This window comes from Homo sapiens, chromosome 7, assembly GCF_000001405.40.
Source record: "Homo sapiens chromosome 7, GRCh38.p14 Primary Assembly".
NCBI lineage: Eukaryota > Metazoa > Chordata > Mammalia > Primates > Hominidae > Homo > Homo sapiens.
The window spans coordinates 69,878,590-69,893,204 of NC_000007.14; the positions used below are offsets into that span (position 1 = coordinate 69,878,590).

A 14,615-nucleotide genomic window follows, 5' to 3' on the forward strand; every position below is an offset into this window, starting at 1 on the left:
GAGGTCAATCTGGCATAAGAAGTAAAGAAGAAGCCACATGACTCGGAGAGGCAGAATTTCTTTCCTTGGACAGGATAGAGCTTTTAATTGAATCCAAATCACATCTCTCATCCTGTGAATGCTGGAGAGCAGTACATTTTTAACTAGGAAGAGCATCAATTATGTATTAGCCACGATACTAATTTACCCTGAGTGTGTGTCTTAGAGCTGGCTTTCATCTCTGCATAGCCACTGATGTAATGCCATTGTGTTTCTATACTCAACCAGTCGCTCTTAAGATAGGGTGTCCTGCTATTGAAAAGAGTAGAAAGTAGGGATTGCTATTGCTGAGGCTCTTTCTGTGTTCTTACAGCTGAGGGCCCTTTGGGATACCACCTTAGGGTGGGAGAGCTGTTCACTCACCGTTGTGCTTTGAGATGCAGACTGGGGCTTGTCCTTTTACTCTGATGCTGCTGCTTTATCAGTTATTTGGTATTATTGTGTTCCAGGATAAATCTCTGGAACCCTCAGTTATAGATATTTGAGACTTTCTGTGTGTGTGTGTGTGTGTGTGTGTGTGTGTGTGTGTTTGAGACAGGGTCTTGCTCTGTCGCCCAGGCTGGAGTGCGGTGGCACGATCTCAGCTCACTGCAGCTTCCCTCCATCCTGGGCTCAAGTCATCCTCCCACTTCATCATCCCAAGTAGCTGGGACTACAGGCATGTGCCACCATGCCCGGCTATTTTTTTTTTCTTTTTTTTTTGTAGAGACGGGATTTTGCCATGTTGCCCAGGCTGATCCTGACCTCCTGGGCTCAAGTCATCCACTCACCTCAGCCTCCCAAAGTGGTGGGATTGCAGGCGCGAGCCACTGTGCCCAGCCTGAGATTTTGAACATTTGCCTCCAGAAAATGTAGGCAGTTTCTGTGGCTGCTTATTTCCTCGCCAGTAATATATTTTGCTTGTTCCTAGAGTACTAAATGTAATGATGACCAAAGTGGACTGAGCATTTCCTAGATCTTGACACTCTTCTAAGCACATTATATATATTAACTTATTAAATTCTCACAAAAATCCTATGAGGTAAATACTATTATCATCCCTATGTTACAGATGAGGAAAATGTTAAATAACTTACCTAGTGAGTGTAGCATAGGCTCTGGTGTAAAAAGCTGATTCAAACACCTGCCTTGCCACTGTGAATCACGGCCCTCAGTCCTTTCCTGTGAAAAATTGATTTTTATTTTTTTTGAGACAAGGTCTTACCCTGTCACTCAGGCTGGAGTGCAGTGGTGTGATCATAGGTTGCTGCAGCCTTGACTTCCCAGGCTTAGACAATTCTACCATGTCAGCATCCTGAGTACCTTTTAATTTTTTAGAGAGATGGGATTTCCCTATGTTGCCCAGTGTATTAGTCCATTCTTGCACTGCTACAAAGAACTAACTGAGACTGGGTAACTTATAAAGAAAAGAGGTTTAATTGTCTCATGGTTCTGCAGGCTGTACAAGAAGCATGGTTGGGGAGGCTTCAGGAAATCTTCATTCATGGTGGAAGGTGAAGGGGAAGCAGGCACATCTTACGTGGCCTGGGCAGGAGGAAGAAAGTGGGGGTGGGGGTGCCACACACTTTTAAACAACTAGATCTCGTGAGAGCTCACTCAGTATCATGAGAACAGCAAGGGGGAAATCCGTCCCCATCATCCAGTCACCTCTCACCAGGCCTTACTTCCAATACTGGGGATTACAATTCAACATGAGATTTTGATGGGGACACAAAGCCAAACCATATCACCCAGCTGGGAAAATGGATTGTTAATAGTACCTGCATACAGAATTGTGGTGGGCATGTGATTTTGGCAGGTGATAAGCTCTTCATTAGCATTCACTACCACAGTGAACACCACCATCCTCCTCCTCATCATCATAATTATCTATCCAGAGGATCATGTGAGATGCTTCAAACCCCTGACTAAGGCAATCTCAAAGGATAATTTGCCTCAGGTGTCAGAATTGTTTAGCTGTACTTGCCTTTCCTTGCAAATATAATGGCAGAAAAAGAGGAAAATTTAGACATTTTGAGCCTTTTCGAAGCGGGAAATCAGGTAAGATATTTTCAGATAGATAATTTGTTTTCTCCTTGTGCTCTTATCACTTCCTTCCTCTTTCTCTCCCACCTCTGAGAACCCTGGATGAGGGTAGATGAAGTAGAGGAGAGGGTGGTGACAATGGTGGTAAAAGAAAAAGTAACCACCAAACATGTACAGAACCACTCCAGCATTTAATTAAAGCCTGCAGCCCTTTGTCAGCCAGAAGCTCCTCTCATGGTGAGAGAGGCAGAGAGCCTTGTCACTGTCTCTAGAATTATTTGTATAATTCAGCAGCTGTTTCCCTCAGATGCCTACCACACGAGGTTGGATTATAAAGACGTATGAGTAGAATCGCCAAGGTTCAGACACTTGTGTTCACTGTTGAGCTGAGAGCCACTTAGGCTGTTCTTGTACAAATGCATTAGATTATGGTTAAGCAGCTTATGGACATAAAAACACATTAGAACTTTACAGCACTCTATAAATTATAGTTTTTGCAGCATTCACAGCCACAATGCTAGGTAATTACATTCATTAATCTACTAGTAAGAGCACATAAAGTTGCCTCCCAAACCTTACTGTATGTGTCAGTACTCAGCTGGGAAGGAGAGTTTTTTTCCTCTCCTTTTTCCCCGTCTTTCCCTGTTCCATTAAGCCTTGTGTGGGAAGATTTTTGATGTTACATTGAGGTGTTCCCTAAAAGAATCCAATAAACCCATTTTTTTTTTTTAATGGTTAGGCTCTGGCAGGAGGCCTTGTAGGTAATATTTTCATGTTGAGCTGCACCTAGTAACTATTTTTGTATGCATTTATTTTCTTTTTGGAAATGGACAGATGTCTCATTTGGAAAGCCAGCAAGTTAAAGCAGTTGAAAAGAGATTAATGATAGAATCAGTGGTAAATGCTTTTTCAGGACTTCTTTTTGCCTCTCTCTGGTAGCAGTTAACATGATGGTCCTTTTAATTTTGGATCTATCAGGAGTACAAAGTATTGCTCTCTTCCCATGCCAAACTTTCCTAAAGTTTCCATCTTTCCATATGGTGATAGGAAATGCCTCCCCCCACAGCCCTGTCTCAGAACTTTCTCTTATTTGCATGTCTCATAAATTACAGAAGGCAGATTTAGGAAGAAATGCTGGAACTTTATATGGTGCTAGTATTTCAAGGAGCAAATTGTACTTTCTTCGCATTATTTCTCAGGTTAAATAGACCAAGTGGACCAGGCGTGGTGGCTCACACCTGTAATCCCAACACTTTGGGAGGCCGAGGTGGGTGGATCACATGAGGTCAGGAATTTGAGACCAGCCTGCCAACATGGTGAAACCTCATCTCTACTAAAAATACAAAATTAGCTGGGAGTGGTGGTGCACGCCTGTAACCCCAGCTACTCAGGAGGCTGAGGCAGGAGAATCGCTTGAAACTGGGAGACGGAAGTTGTAGTGAGCTGAAATCAGGCCACTGCACTCCAGCCTGGGCAACAAGAGCGAAACTCTGTCTCAAAAAAAAAAAAAAAAAAAAAAAAAAAGACCAAGTGATAGGCTGGGCGTGCTGGCTCATGCCTGTAATCCCAGCACTTTGGGAGGCTGAGGTGAAAGAATTGATTGCTTGCTCAGGAGTTTGAGACCAGCCTGGGCAACATAATGAGACCCCATCTCAATGTAATAAATAAGTAAATAATTTTTTTAAAAAGTGAAAAGAAAAAATAGGCCAAGTAATACAGCCATCTTAAAAATAAAAACAAAAATGGAATAGAGAAGTATGTTAACCTGCAACCCCAAGGCAACACTATAAGTCCTGGGTCATGCTCAGACCACATTCTAGGCTTCTGCTTTCAGTTCTGTTCACATGAATGAGAACATGAATGCTAGAGCCACGCAGGTCTGTGTTGAGTCCTGGTATTGTCTTTTCATAGCTATGTGACCTTGGGAATATTAATTAATAGTAATAAAAATAATTAATTTGGACTGAACTCCTAATACATCCTAGGCATTACATTAACTAATTTAATCCTAATAGCTGCTTCATAAGTTAGGTGATATTATTCGCTCCATTTTATATATGAGAAAACTGAAGCTTCACAGGGTATTGTAGTAATTAAATGAGGTATTATAAATAAAATATCCAGTATGTTGCTTGGCACATTCAATGACACTCATTAAACACAATCTTGAGGATATATGGAGAATAGATCCCACCATTGTTCCTCCAATGCCAAATGTAACCTTTTAGAATGACAGTTTCCCTTTTTAATGACTTACCAGTCATTAATTGTATCAGTCAGGAAGAGGAATTCCTCACATTTATTTGTAATTTATTTACTGCCTGTACCAGGAAGTATCCCAAGCACTTTCCACAAATTTCATTAAACTTTCTATTCCTGTATTCCAGGAGAAGAAATGGAGGCTCATAAGGGCCAAGGCATTTGTTCATGTTCGTAAAGCCAGAAGGTGGGAAAGCCAGTTCTCGGACTCAGATGTAACCGCCACCAATAAAGAGTAGGGATAGCAGTGAAGTGGTCTATTTTCCTGGAATGAAGCTTCTATGGTGGGAAGTAATCTAAGCAACTGATTAAGGAGCCAGCTTTGTGCACTTCAAAGCAGCCTCAGCTTCGGGGTGGAGCATAGAGTTCCTTTTTTTTTTTTTTTTCTTTAGCAGGCAGGAAGATATTCTTATTCCCAAAGAACTGAGAAATATTTGAGACTATCCATAGTACTCATTGGTGCTGTAAGGTTAGATAACTGCTGAGAAGAAAACTGATTGCTCTGTGTAAATCAGTATGCTGATGAGGGAATGATAAAACTGCAGGGTAGTACCAGCGTCAGCATCTTGTTTCCAACCCAGCTCTTCTCTCTCTTGACAAAACAGCTGTCATTTTGGATTAATGTTGAAATCACCAGAATCTGCTGGTCATCAGAGCAGGGCCGATGCCATCTTTGGGATGAAGTGTGCTGGCAACAAGATAGAAACTGGACATGGGAAAAAGGAAAGTCTCCCTCAAACATGCTGCCATCCAAGGCCCAGTTTAAACCACAGGCTCAATTTTTGCTCCCAAACTGATTTCCCGACTAACCCATCTGCTCATGCACACACCCTCCCAACCTCACACAGCAGGCCTGGCCTTTATCATTTCAGGTCCTGCAGAGCTGTTCTCTCTCACTGTGGTACTGATGCCAGTTTTAACAGCCGCCATGTGTATTGACTCCTCTACCGATTACAAATATATACGCGTTTGCCAGTTTGTTTAGTGAGTGGTTTTCATAGGCTGTGATGGGGATTTCACTTTCATGAATATAATTTGCTGAGCCTGTGGTGACATCAATAAATCCTTCTGGGATGGGGAATGGTTGATTTCCCTACATCCAGATGACATCCTCCAGCCCACTTCCTTATGGGACCAACAGCCAATGTCATAACACATGCTTCTTTGTGAGAGCATGGAAGGAAATTGTTTAAAGTGTGTCATCTGTGGGCACAGTTTCTAAGGTAGATACCTGTGAGGATGTATAGGCATGCTTTAGACATGGACAGAATGAGTTATGTACTTAGTAACTCAAAACTCTGCTGAGCTCATTGTGGACAGCTCTTACAGATAAACTAAAATGCAGCTTCTTAAAAAATGAGAGGACATTTGCAGAAAGCATTCTTACTGCTTTCAGCAAATCTATGTGCCTTATGTTTTTATATAGCAGTCATTTTCTCAAATCAGACATCCCTATTGCCTATTAGATAAACACAGAAAGCATAGATTATGAGTTTAAAAGTATCGACAGCATTTCAAGTGCTATCAGAGAACATTTAATTCAGTTTAATTTTGTGATAAATCTCACGTTTAATCCTCTGGTTACCCTGTAATCATGTCTCTATTGATCTTTTCTGAATGACTGCCTGCAGTTTAATAAACTTTGCCATTAACCCAGAGCTTCTAAAAGGAGAGATTGATTCCATTATCAAATCTGATAGAACCAATAAGTACCTAAACATCACTAAATCTATCTATAGGAAGCTTTGGCCTAGAGACAAGCCTGTGGCTTGTTTAAGAAACTAGGTAAAAATCTGGATATCTTTGCATGACCTAATTGCCTCACAGCATCTGATTCCCTTGTGCAAACTGACACTGCCTTTCATCTTTCAAGTCAATGTAGTAGCCAACTGAAAGGACAGTCTCTTTTCTTGCCTCAACCGTAATTGTAGGGTCTAATTTATTCTCACTGCAGATATAGCTTGAGGAGTTTATTTGGTCTATGTCTCAGGTCAGTGGGTATATCTTAAGCACTTTTCTGTGTCTCTGAAAACCTGCAGGATAGTTTGTTTTATTTTTACCTATATGATGCCAAGGGAAAGAAAATTCTGTCTGGATAAATCCTGAAATAGAAGACTGGGGGTGAAGATTGAGAGAGAGGGAAGGCAAGTACAGAGTCATAGCTGTGTGAACAAGCTCTAAGACTTGGAAAACTTTCCATGAAACCCATATATGTTTCTCATGTAGTGATAGGTTATTTGCAATATGTGTTGAACAGGAATTTCTACTTTTTGTGCCGCGAGTATTTATAGCTTTCATCATTATTCATTAATATTTATTGAGTCACATAGGCAGAACATATGGAATTCAGGGTCTAGAGTATATTTACAGCTTCTTATTTTTTTAAGGTCAGAAAGGTGTCATTCCCTGCCACTTTTCACCTCTTAAATAAATCGGTGAAGGTTGTCAATTTTACAGAAAAGCCAAAGCTTTTATTTTCTGTCTAGATTTTTATTGACAATGTGAATTTTTCAGAAGGAGTTCGGCTATTTGACTTAGGAGGCATAGCCTTTCCCTAATTACACTTCGGTGGGGAAGTGGAGGTGCACAGAAGGATTTTTATAATGAGACAATACTAAACTGTAATTTAAAATTTCCTTCCAACAAAAGACCCTAATCTTGGCACTTAGAAATAAATCTGTAATGACGTGGTGTTAGGCAGTGGAAGCAGGATTAGAGCCAAGGGACTCTGGGTGTGTTGCCAGTTGCTGATTTTCTCACTTTGGAAAGTCACTTGTTTACCCAGCCTTAGTTTCCTCATGTATAAAATAAAACTGATGGTGCCTGCTTAGAGAGCTATTAGAGAATTCAATGAGGTGATTATTTTAAAAGATACTGTAAACTTTTTCCAATGCTGAGTTGTTGTGCAGACATTAATGGTTATGAAAAAGATAAATTAGTCCTCGCTTTATATTCAGAAATGGTCTGACCTTTCAGTAAATTATGTTTAGTTCTTAAATCAAAACCCAGTTAGGACAAGAGAGCTTGAAGAGTACGTATACATAAGAGAAGTCTCACAGAGATATTTGAAAGGCTGGAAAATGTGCTCTGGAGGCAAACCCTCCACTGAATTGATGAATTCTAAGTTACATCTGTTGATATTTTTTGTGTGCTAAATAGCCTCCCAGTATGGTAACATTAGAGAGGCTGAAGGAACCTAAGAGGAGGACCCTACATTTATAGGTATTGAGGTAGATTGGTCTCTGCCCTTGAGAAGCCAATCAAAATTAGGTTGAGAAAGGATGTAGCAATTGTTCGTGGAATACTAATAGGCATATATGCACTTGTTCATGTTGATTCTCTATGTCACTGCTCTGTAAGAGAAGGAATGCCTGCACATCTTCAATAGGAAGTTGACAACAGTTTCTGGAAAGTTGGAAGAAAGTTACAGAATTATTCCTTTAGTAGTAATTATTCCATAGTTCTCTAGAAACATGACAAAACCTCTTGAAAAACTTGAGTCATAAAAGGACTGCCTCACATATATACACACACTTCCTGATATGCTGTGTAAAACTGCGTTTATATTCAGAGCCACATAACACAAATTTTGCCAGAAGTTGCTTTTTATACCACTGAATAGCTCTAAACTTTAAATTGTCTTTCATAAAATTGTTTCTTGTCTGCTGAGTGGACAGAATGTCTCTCTCTTCCCCACCCTTCATATCATTTTGTTTTCCTAAATGGGCCACTCTGTGAAGTAGTTCTTTACTTCTAGCCACCACCCCTGCCTCTAGAACAATGCAACCAACCTTAACCAAAGTCACATATCAAGAGTTCTCTGCTGCCTGTTAATGCAGATTTGACTTCTTTGTGTGTGTGTGTGTGTGTGTGTGTGTGTGTGTGTGTGTGTGTGTGTCAGGGTCTCATTCTGTCACCGAGGCTAGAATGCATTGGTGTGATCATGGCTCACTGCAGGCTCAGTCAGTCCTCCTGCCTCAGCCTCCTGAGTAGCTGGGACTACAGGCATACGCCACCACACCCAGCTAATTTAAAAAATATTTTTCTGGAGACTGGGTCTCACTCTGTTGCCCAGGCTGGTCTTGAACTCCTGGGCTTAAGCCAGTCCACCTGCCTTGGCCTCCCAAAGTGTTGGCATTAAAGGCATGAGCCACCGTGCATAGCCAGATTTGACATCTTAAAAGCCAGAGCTAGACATACTTATTGATTGTCTTCCTGGGGCCAGGTGCAGTGGCTCACGCCTGTAATCCCAGCACTTTGGGAAGCCGAGGCGGGTGGGTCACTTGAGGTCAGGAGTTGGAGACCAGCCTGGCCAACATGGTGAAACCCCGTCTCTACTAAAAAATACAAAAAATTAGCCGGGCATGGTGATGTATGCCTGTAATCCCAGCTACATGGGAGGCTGAGACAGGAGAATCATGTGAACCCGGGAGGTGGAGGTTGCAGTGAGCTGAGATTGTGCCATTGCACTCCAGCCTGGGTAATAGAGCAAGACTTCATCAAAAAAAAAAAAAAAAAAAAAGTAATGGAAACTCAGAGAAGGTTGCTGAAGGGAAGCTAGAAGGCCTCCTCCAGGACAGAGAAGTAATCATTTTACACTTATCACTTACGGTAACTACAATAGAATCAGTGAGCTAGTTGCTGAATACTTCTAGAGACATTGTTCACTTAAAGTGAAGGTGTGATAGTATGTGAATACCTGGGGAAGAGAAGAAAGCGAAACATTTTTAGGAAAGAAAAGGAAAGTATGTGACTTATTACTAATCAGGATCAATTTGAAGATCTGAATAGATTTTCACTGGCTAATCAGAGTTATTCTGTGGAATATCTGCAACCTCTGCAACCACTTTTGATTTTTCTGTGAATAGTGAGGTACTGAGATCCAGTAAATTATAATTTGGCCTTGATATCAAGCCATGAAAAAGATGTTTAGAACTAACATTCATTGGCCTCTTTCATTTTTTTTTCTCTTGGGGTTAATAAGGCGATTTATGTTATTTCTAGGCATCTGTTCATCCCCTCTTTAGCATATAGGGGAATAGAAATGGTTTATCCGGGATATGGATGTGGTAATGTGTCTTAGTCTGTTTTTGTGTTGCTACAAAGGAATACCTGAGGCTAGGTGCAGTGGCTCATGCCTCTAATCCCAACACTTGGGGAGGCCAAGGCGGGAGGATCGCTTGAGGCCAGAGTTAGAGACCAACCTGAGAAACATAGCAAGACCTTGTCTCTACAAAAAAGTAAAAATAAAAACAAGAAAAAGGAATACTAGATGCTAGTAATTTATAAGGAAAGGAGGTTTATTTCACTCATGGTTCTGCAGACTGTACAAGAAGAATGGTGCTGGCATCTGCTTGGCTTATGGTGGAGTTCTCATGTGGCTTCCACTCATGATGGACGGCAAAGGGGAGTCAGTGTGTGCAGAGGTCGCATGATGAGAGAGGAAACAAGAGGATGGGGGGAGGTACCAGTCTCTTTTTAACAACCAGCTCGTGTGGGAACTAACAGAGTAAGAACCTCTCTTAGTTCTATTAGAGTTCGACATGAGGGAGGGCATTAATCTATTTATGAAGGATCCAATCCCATGACCCAAATAGCTCCTCTTAGGCCCCACCTCCAACATTGGGGATATATATATATATATATATATATATATATATGTATGGTTTTTTAAATTATTATTTTTTTGGAGACAGTCTCACTCTGTCACCCAGGCTGGAGTGCAGTGGTGCGATCTCGGCTCACTGCAACTTCTACCTCCTGGGTTCAAGCGATTCTCCTGCCTCAGCCTCCCGAGTAGCTGGGACTACACCTCCACGCCTGGCTAATTTTTTGTATTTTAGTAGAGACGGGGTTTTACCATATTGCCCAGGCTGGTCTCGAACTCCTGAGCTCAGGCAATCCACCTGCCTTGGCCTCCCAAAGTGCTAGGATTACAGGCATGAGCCACCAGGCCCACCCATTGGGGATATTTCAACATGAGTTTTGGAGGGGACAAATAAACTATAACAGAAATAATTAGATAATGTGTTTGAAAGTCTTGGATGGAAGTCCGAGAGGGGAAGAGTGATGGAGTAGTACAATTCATAGCATGGCCCAACAGCTTCAGAATGAGAGGACATTCAGGGCATCCTAATTTCACAAGTTCATTCTCCTTTAAGTTTTTGTTTTTAGAAATGGGCTCTTGCTTTGTTGCCTAGGGTTCTCAAACTCCTGGGCTCAAGCAGTTGTCTAGCCTCAGTCTCCCAAGTAGCTGGGACTGCAGCCATGCACTACCAGGTCCAGTTCTAATTCATTCTTTTATAAACAGGTTACTGTGTGTCCTCTACTCTGTTCTCTGCTAGGAATTCTGGCATGATGAAGTCATAGCCATTGTCCTTATGGAGGTAATTCTGAGTATTACCAGGAAGATCCAGTTACCAATATTTTGATACACTGTAATAAGTACATTAATTCTTTTCCTATCTTTTGCATACAGTGCTTAATCAAAAAATGAATAATGGTTGTTTCAACTTACTTTACCATCAGCAGTGTGCAGTGGTTCCCATTTTTCCACACCCTCACTGACAAGTACCTCTTGTCTTTTTGATAATACCCGTCCTAACAGGTGCAAGATGACATCTCATTGTGGTTTTGATTTGCATATTCCAGATGACTAATGAGCACATTTTCATGTACTTGTTGGCTATTTGTATGTCTTCTTCGGAAAAATGTCTAGTCAGATTTTTTTTAAAAAGAACATATTACATGTAAAAAGAATAATGGTTAATTAAAGCAAGTATCATTAGAATTACACATCCTCTCAAATGTGTGCGTGTGTTACTTTAGTGGATTAGATTTAAGTGGGAGAAAAAGCAATCGAAATTTGAGTGTTCTGCTTGTCTTTCTTCAGTTAGCATACCAGGCTTCTGCCCTTGGAGAGGCCTGAGAATTGTGTGGTGCTAGTTTCTCTTCTGGCTGCCATTACACTATCTTCTGTTGTATGGTTCTTTTTGCCTTTTTGGACTCGTCCTTTGTGTACGTTATTGCCCTAAGCCCTCACTGATGAGATTTTCTGCCTCAGTCATGCTGTGCTCAGCTTTCAGAATGTTGTTGTTACGGAGGAGTTAATTTTTTTTTTAAGGTTTCCTTTTCGTCATGCTGTATTTCTCAGATTATCTGGAGGGACTGTAATCCAATTTTAGGAATCCTTCAGGGCTGAGAGCCTAAACTGTTTTAAGCAATAGCATCTGGTTGCCAGGGACTCAACTACTTTGAGCGTGTTAAGGTCTAACGGCAGCCAACTCTCAATTATCTGTGGGAATGGGAGACTCCTGGGATGTTTTCAATTCACAGAGTGTGCAAAAATCTCACTTAAACGGATAGTCGTGACCTCATCCCACAGCTGAGTTTAGGAGAGCTTCTCAGTGTGTGGTTTTGTTTTCTTTTTGTTTTGTTCTCTTCTCACCTTTGACAGTGGCACTGCAGCATTGACAGGTGCCTTTTATATGTTGAATTTATCTGTACCTGATCTATTTTTTTAAACCTTGTCCCTCTCATCTTTATTTAGATTCCATATGTGTATCATTATATACATTAAGTATGTTTTAATAAACTGCCTCAATTCTTTTACATTTTAGGAGCAGTAAAATTTATTTATATTTTCTTTCTTTGCTTATTGGCTAACGTGCTCATGGGAGGGGATGTAGCCAAACAGTAATCAGGCTACCAGATAGAAAGATAAGAAAACTTTACAAAAGGTTAGCCTCTGAATAATAATTGAGAACTGGCTGTTAAAAATGAAAAAAAAAAAAAAATACGAACTCTACCTTGTCACTGAAAATGAGGTGAAGGCCAGGCAGTGCTCCTCAGTCAAGACATTCGTGTTCACAACTGAGTTGTCTCCAGTGGAAATTTCATGGCTACTTTATGGCCTAAAGCCAGTGCTCCCAGACGTGGTCATCCCTTGGTTTTAGGATTCTAAAAGATGAGTTTCTTTTAATGAAAACTGAATGTAATCTAGTTGTTAGGGATAATTATATGCCAGTTGTGCATGACGGCAAGGGCCCCTGGTTTTTAAAAACCAGCTTTATGGAGGTATAATTTACATTCCAGTAAACTGCACAAACTAACAATATACAATTTGATGAGTTTTGACATGTGTATATACCCATGAAACCACTGCCACAATCAAGACAGCGAACATGTTCACCCCAAAAGTTTCCTTATGTCCCTTTATAATCCCTTCTTCCTATCTCTCCCAGGAAGCCACTAGCCTGCTTGCTGTTGCTATCAATTAGTTCATATTTCCTAGGATTTTATATAAATGGGATCATACATAATATAATCTTTTCCGTCTGATTTCTTTCACTTGGCATACTTATTTTGAGACGTATTCATGCCACCTGTATCAGGAGGTTATTTCTTTTTATTGCTGAGTAGTATTCCATTGATTGGTTACAACCACAGTTTGTTTATCCATTCATCTATTGATGTACATTTGGGTTGTTTGCAGTTTTAGAAGCATTGCACATCTGCTAGGAGCATTCATGTGTAGCTCTTCATGTAGACATGTACTTTAATTTCTCTTAGGGAAATACCTAGGAGTAGAACGGTTGGATCATATGGTCGGTGTACTTAGAACTTTTAAAGAAACTACTAAACTTTCTTCCAAAGTGGTTGTGCTGTTTCATATTCTCACCAGTAGTGTATGTATGAGCATCCTCTGCATCCTTGCCCACTCTCGGTAGGGTCATTCTTTCTTATTTCAGCCATTTTATATGTATGTAGTGGTATCTCATTGTGGTTTTAAGTTGTATTTCCCTAATGACTACTGATGTTAACTATTGTTTTATGTATTCATTCACTTTCCAGACAGATATCTTTTTTTTTTTTTTTTTTTTTTTTTTTTTTTTTTTTTGAGATGGAGTATCTCTCTGTCATCCAGGCTGGAGTGCAGTGACACAATCTCGGCTCACTGCAACCTTTGCCCTCTGGGTTCAAGCGATTCTCCTGCCTCAGCCTCCGAGTAGCTGGGATTACAGGTGCATGCCACCATGCCCAGCTAATTTTTTTGTATTTTTAGTAGAGACAGGGTTTCACCCGTTAGTCAGGATGGTCTCGATCTCCTGCCTTGTGATCCATCTGCCCTGGCCTCCCAAAGTGCTGGGATTACAGGCATGAGCTGCCACACCTGGCCCCAGATATCTTCTTTAGCAAAGTATCTGAATCTTTTGCTTATTTAAAAAATTGGGTTGTTTCCTTTTTTAGTTTTGAGAATTTTTTTTTTTTTTTTTTTTAAGATGGAATCTTGCTCTGTCGCCCAGGCTGGAGTGCAGTGGTGCAATCTCGGCTCACTGCAACCTCCACCTCCTGGGTTAAAGCGATTCTCCTGCTCAGCCTCCTGAGTAGCTGGGACTATAGGCGCGTACCACCACACCTAGCTAATTTTTGTATTGACCAGGCTGGTCTCGAACTCCCGACCTCAGGCAATTTGCCTGCCTTGGCCTCCTAAAGTGCTGGGATTACAGGTGTGAGCCATCACACCTGGCCCAAGAATTTATTAAATTAATATATTCTGTATACAAAACTTATCAGATACACATTTTAAAAAATATTTTTCCATTCTGTGGCTTATCTATTTATGTATCTTTTACTCTCCTGGTAACTCACAGAACAGTCACTTTATTTTCTTGACAGTATCTTTTGAAGAGCAAAATTTTAATTCTTGAAGTGTAATTTATCAATTTATTCTTTTATGGATTATGCCTTTGGTGTCATAGTAAGAAATCTTAGCTTAACCCAAGATTACAAGAGTTTTCTCTTAGAAATTTTATGGTTTTAGGTTTTACATTCAGGTTTATAATATAGTTTGTGTTAGTTTTTTCTATTTAGATTGAAGTGTGGATTAAAATTTTGCATATGATTACCTATTCTATCACCATTTGTTTAAAAAACTTATTTCTCTGTAGAATAGCTTTTGCCTGAAAATCAGTTGTTGATATATGTGTGGGTCTCTTTCTGGACTATTCTGTTCCTTTGATCTGTTTTTCTATCTTTATGCCAATATAGTGATGCAATTTTAATGTGGTGTGAAAGATGGCACTACAGAGCACCTGACTTGCTCCTCCTCTAACCTACTTTACTATAATAGTTCACTGATTAGCCTGTTTCCCTGGATAAGCAGCCTGAGTTTAGGAATTCTTTCTTAGATATTTCCAACAGATGGCAATGTGTATGCACATAGTAGGTGTTTTGATATTTGTTTTTAAAAGATGTGAATCTTAGGGATTAATGTTTGAATGCCATCCTGG

General features: G+C 40.4%; 1 protein-coding gene across 21 annotated transcripts in view, besides 1 other annotated feature; it reads left to right on the top strand.

Moving 5' to 3' along the window:
• Nucleotides 1-14,615, top strand: part of AUTS2 (activator of transcription and developmental regulator AUTS2) — a 1,195,032-nt gene that overhangs the window by 280,115 nt on the left and 900,302 nt on the right. The gene's annotated exons all lie outside the window — the stretch shown is intronic.
• Nucleotides 11,206-11,335: an enhancer, noted in NCBI's record as "active region_26104". NCBI's record gives its function as "activates an Ori minimal core promoter by ATAC-STARR-seq in GM12878 lymphoblastoid cells {active_cell/tissue: GM12878}" and the evidence as "EXISTENCE:reporter gene assay evidence [ECO:0000049][PMID:35858748]".